The 4,273-nt window shown below is 42.0% G+C and overlaps 1 annotated feature.

Moving 5' to 3' along the window:
• Positions 550-844: an enhancer, noted in NCBI's record as "tiled region #8353; HepG2 Activating non-DNase unmatched - State 4:PromP". NCBI's record gives its function as "activates a minimal TATA promoter and a strong SV40 promoter by Sharpr-MPRA in HepG2 cells {active_cell/tissue: HepG2}" and the evidence as "EXISTENCE:reporter gene assay evidence [ECO:0000049][PMID:27701403]".

Raw genomic sequence — 4,273 nt, forward strand, 5'->3', positions numbered from 1 at the left:
GAAGAGGGTAGTTGCCATGGTTTTCATGCCCACTGGACTCTCCATAGAGGAAACAGTGAGGAAGCCGATGTAGGCTTTATCTCCCACCCCTGTGCTCAGTCTCCTTACGCTGGCTTGCTCTTCCACCCCAGAATGGGGTTAAGAGCACAGATGCTGGAGCTGGACTGCCTAGATTCAAATCCTGGCTCTTTTTACTGCTGGTGGTGTGAACTGGGGCTATTCCCCAACCTCTCTGTGACTCAGTTTCTCCATCTGTAAAGTGGGAATGATAACAGTATCTATTTGGGGGCATCACTGGAAATATTAAATGAATTAACACATATTAAGAGCTTAGGACAGTGTATGGCAGCACACTGAATAAGCCCTCTCTAAGACTTAGCTATCACTACAATCATCTCTGTTCCTTCCTGAATCTAAACTTTGTTGCTTCTTGCTGTTTTTCCTCTGGCTTTTTGAATCAAAACTTTTTTACTCAAAACCTTCTCAATCATTCCTTCGGTAGCTTGAGATTTCTACCTGATTTATTTCAGGATAAAGTCAAGCTCTTGGCCTGAGGATAAGATGTCTCATGATCTGAGCAAGCCCAGCTGTCCTGCCTTACCTGCTTGCATTCTCTGTTCACGTCATTTGGCTTCCGTGCCTGCATGGGCTGTCACCTTTACCCCCACTCTCCGCTGGCCTGTCTCCTGGCCTATTGTTCTTCCCACATTCCTCAGTTCAGACGTCACATTCCCGAGGAAGCCATTTTATCCCCTTCCACCCCTGACCCTGAACACCCAGGCTGCATTAGATGTGCCCTGGGTTAGATACGTATTCCCATAGCACCCCAGTTTTCCTTCTATCCTGGCACTGATTACACTGCCTCTAATTGTCTATCTGCCTATGACTCTATAAAATAACCTGCACCTTGGGACACGAACTGTGGCTTTTATTTTGATCCCTATGCCCTCCCAGATATCCCTTCTCCTGTCCTCCATCCTGCCCTCTGTCCTGGAGGTTGACCTGTAAGGACTGCATCTATAGGGTTCCTAGGCCCTCTGGCTTCTGATTGGTTTGGGCCAGTGGGAGAAAGCCCCAGTGGGAGACTGGAGGAGGGGAGGGCAGTCAGGGCATTTGTTCCTGAGGCTCCCTCCCTAGGGGATGGCTGTAGACTAGCAGCATCCCTCACTGAAGTTCACAGGAGCATGCCTTAGACTATCTGGGGTTAAGAGCTGGTTTGTTTTATATTACTTACAATGAAGTGCACCATAGTGCTTTTACGAAATGCAGTGAAACATGAATTATTAAAATATTATTAGAAAAATTAAAAAGCAATAACTTGCAAGATATAAAACTAGATTTCTATTCCTACATTTAAAGTCATAAAGTTGTATTAAAAAATAGATAATCAGGAAAAATCTAACATAGGGGAAAAAAGAATTACAAAAAAACTACATATGTTGCTCATTGAAAGTCTGCATATAGGTGATTAACATAGAGAATTGCTGCTACGTGGCTAAGTTCTTATAGGTTAATAATCATATCTAAATAAAAAATGATGATAATATAGTAATTGCCCACATTAAAGGCCTACAATACTCTCAAAGAGCAATACATATATCAATACATTAAGTTTTCGATGTGACAAAGAAATTGCTTTTTAATTTATCTGATCTAGGTTGGATTGACAACATTGATACCCACATAGTAAGAAGTATATACAAATGATTTCAACATTGAAAAAAATTACACTTATAGTAGAAAAGTCAGTTTTAAAAAGTATGTTTTTAAAACTGGCATAGAAGAGATTTGAAGCAATTTCAGCAGGCTCAGGCTATTCATTTTTTATCTCTATAAAAATGAGGTGGGCTGGGTGCAATGGCTCACGCCTGTAATCCCTGCCCTTTGGGAGGCTGAGGCGGGTGGATCACCTGAGGTCAGGAGTTCGAGACCAGCCTGACCAACATGGTGAAACCCCGTCTCTACTAAAAAATACAAAATATCTGGGCATGATGGTGGGCGCCTGTAATCCCAGCTACTCGGGAGGCTGAGGCAGGAGAATCACTTGAACCCGGGAGGTGGAGGTTGCTGTGAGCCAAGATTGCACCATTGCACTCCAGCCTGGGTAACAGAGCAAGACTCCATCTAAAAAAAAAAAAATTAGGCAAGTAATGCTATGTTTTCAAAATTTATCTCCAATCCTTTATTAGAAGCCAGCATGATTAACTTATTCTATCAAGTGATACTTCTGGATCCATTCATTTCCTATGTGTGAATCTCCTTTTGATGAAAAATAAATTGAAAATGTTCTATCAGATTTGTAAGATGTTTGTTGTTAACTTTTAACATATGTGCAATATCAGAATTACCACCAACTTCGCTAACTGTTAAGAAATGAAATGCACTATCCCAATTTGTAAAAATTCTGTTCTTCTAAGCTTGTATTTCTTCCTTGCATGAAAGTATTAACATCATTAAAATACTCAAGATGTCAAACAAGAAAACAGATCTGGCTGTCTAATTTACAGCCTGAAAAAGTTGGGGCTACACTGGTCTTCTGTCTTGCAGAAGCACAGCTTCACTCTATCCTTCAAATCTTCTTGACAGAACTTTTCCCTTAAGTAACCATCATATGTCAGCATATAATTACAATTGTTTATGATCAGCATTCCATATTATTACAGAGTAAAGAAAACAATCTCAAACTGAACACATTAGCAAGCCTTTATAGAATTAACACTTTTTACTGTGTCACCTAGCACACTGAAAGCTTAGCTGACCTTCATTCATTCATTCATTTGTTGTTATGGGAGGTGGGACAGGGAACCTGACTTCTCAAGAAGGAAAGCAGTGTATTTACTTGCATTCTGGTGCAAGCTTTTTTTTTTCTTTTTTTGTGAGACAGGGTCTCACTGTGTCGTCCACTGCAGCCTCGACCTCCTGGGCTCAGGTGGTCCTCTCACCTCAGCCTCCCTAGTAGCTTGGACCACAGGTACACGCCACCATGCCTGGCTGATTTTTGTATTTTGTAGCAACAGGGTCTTGCCATGTTGCCCAGGCTGGTCTTCAAACTCCTGGGCTCAAGCGATTTGCCCACCTCAGCCTCCCAGCCTCCAAAGTGTTGGGATTACAGGCATGAGCTACTGCGCCCAGCCCTGGTGCAAGCTTCTCAATCTGAGTAAGTATCCCAGAATGTTTCCCTGTCATTTAAGCTGCTTTACCTGGACACATTCCTACACAAAGCCTAAACTCCAAACTACATTTTCTGACGCTAATCACACACTTTGATGTTACGGCAATGTTGAATTGTTATGAAAATTTCTAAACATCTCCTTTCAATTGCCGTACATATCTTATCATAGACTGTCAACAGTGTGCAGAGACCTGCAAGACCTGCACAGGTGTGCAAATTGCACTCTGAGCAACATTGCTCTCCGTCATTCTCTTATTCCAACTGATTTCAGTAATCACTCCCTCCCCTCGAGTCTTCAAGCCTAGGGATGATAAGAGCTTGGTTGCTACCAGCTCTCACTACACTATTCCCCCAACAGCTTCGCCTTTATAAATTGTTATTTTGTTCATAAATCTCCTCCTTGAATTATCCTAATCTGCCTTCTGAATTTCTCTTGGGAAATGTTTTCTGATATAGCCTCCTAACATAGTACCCTGTCCGGCACAGACAAGACGAACAATCCGTGTTTACTGAATAAATGACCTGACATTATTTTGGAGAAATAAGATAACATTTTTCAGGAGGTGAAAATAAGGAGAGGACCCAAGGCATGATATGAACCCGTGCTTCTTCCTTACATGGTCATTATCCCTTCCAGATTTGGAGGCCTAGGCCAGAGCAACCAATAGCTCACATAACACCTTTGTGCAAATTAGAAAAAGGCCTGGCCTGTGGAAGGACACAGTCCCCAAAACACATGGCTTGAAAAAATACAGTGTGGGCTGGCTCTCAGCTCCCCAGACCAGGTACTCTCTGCTTGAATAATGCACACAATCTTACGCAGCTAGTCTGCCCTAGGCTGAGCAAACTGGCAAGTCATTCCACCTTAGAAAAGTGACCAATTAAGTATAATTCTCTGAAGAAGCTCATTACAGCTCAGATTTTGTGGGAATGTGATATTTTTGTCTGCAGGGTGATCTTTTTGACACTTTTCCTCCTTACCTTCCTGAATGTGAGAAGAGAGTCCTTGCTGGCATCATTCGAATAGGTAGTATTGTTATCCAATGGGGCCACAGGATTTCTGGGGGCAAATGCTTTTTGCAGTTCTTCTAAATATAATTG

This window comes from Homo sapiens, chromosome 15 (assembly GCF_000001405.40).
Source record: "Homo sapiens chromosome 15, GRCh38.p14 Primary Assembly".
Classification (NCBI taxonomy): domain Eukaryota; kingdom Metazoa; phylum Chordata; class Mammalia; order Primates; family Hominidae; genus Homo; species Homo sapiens.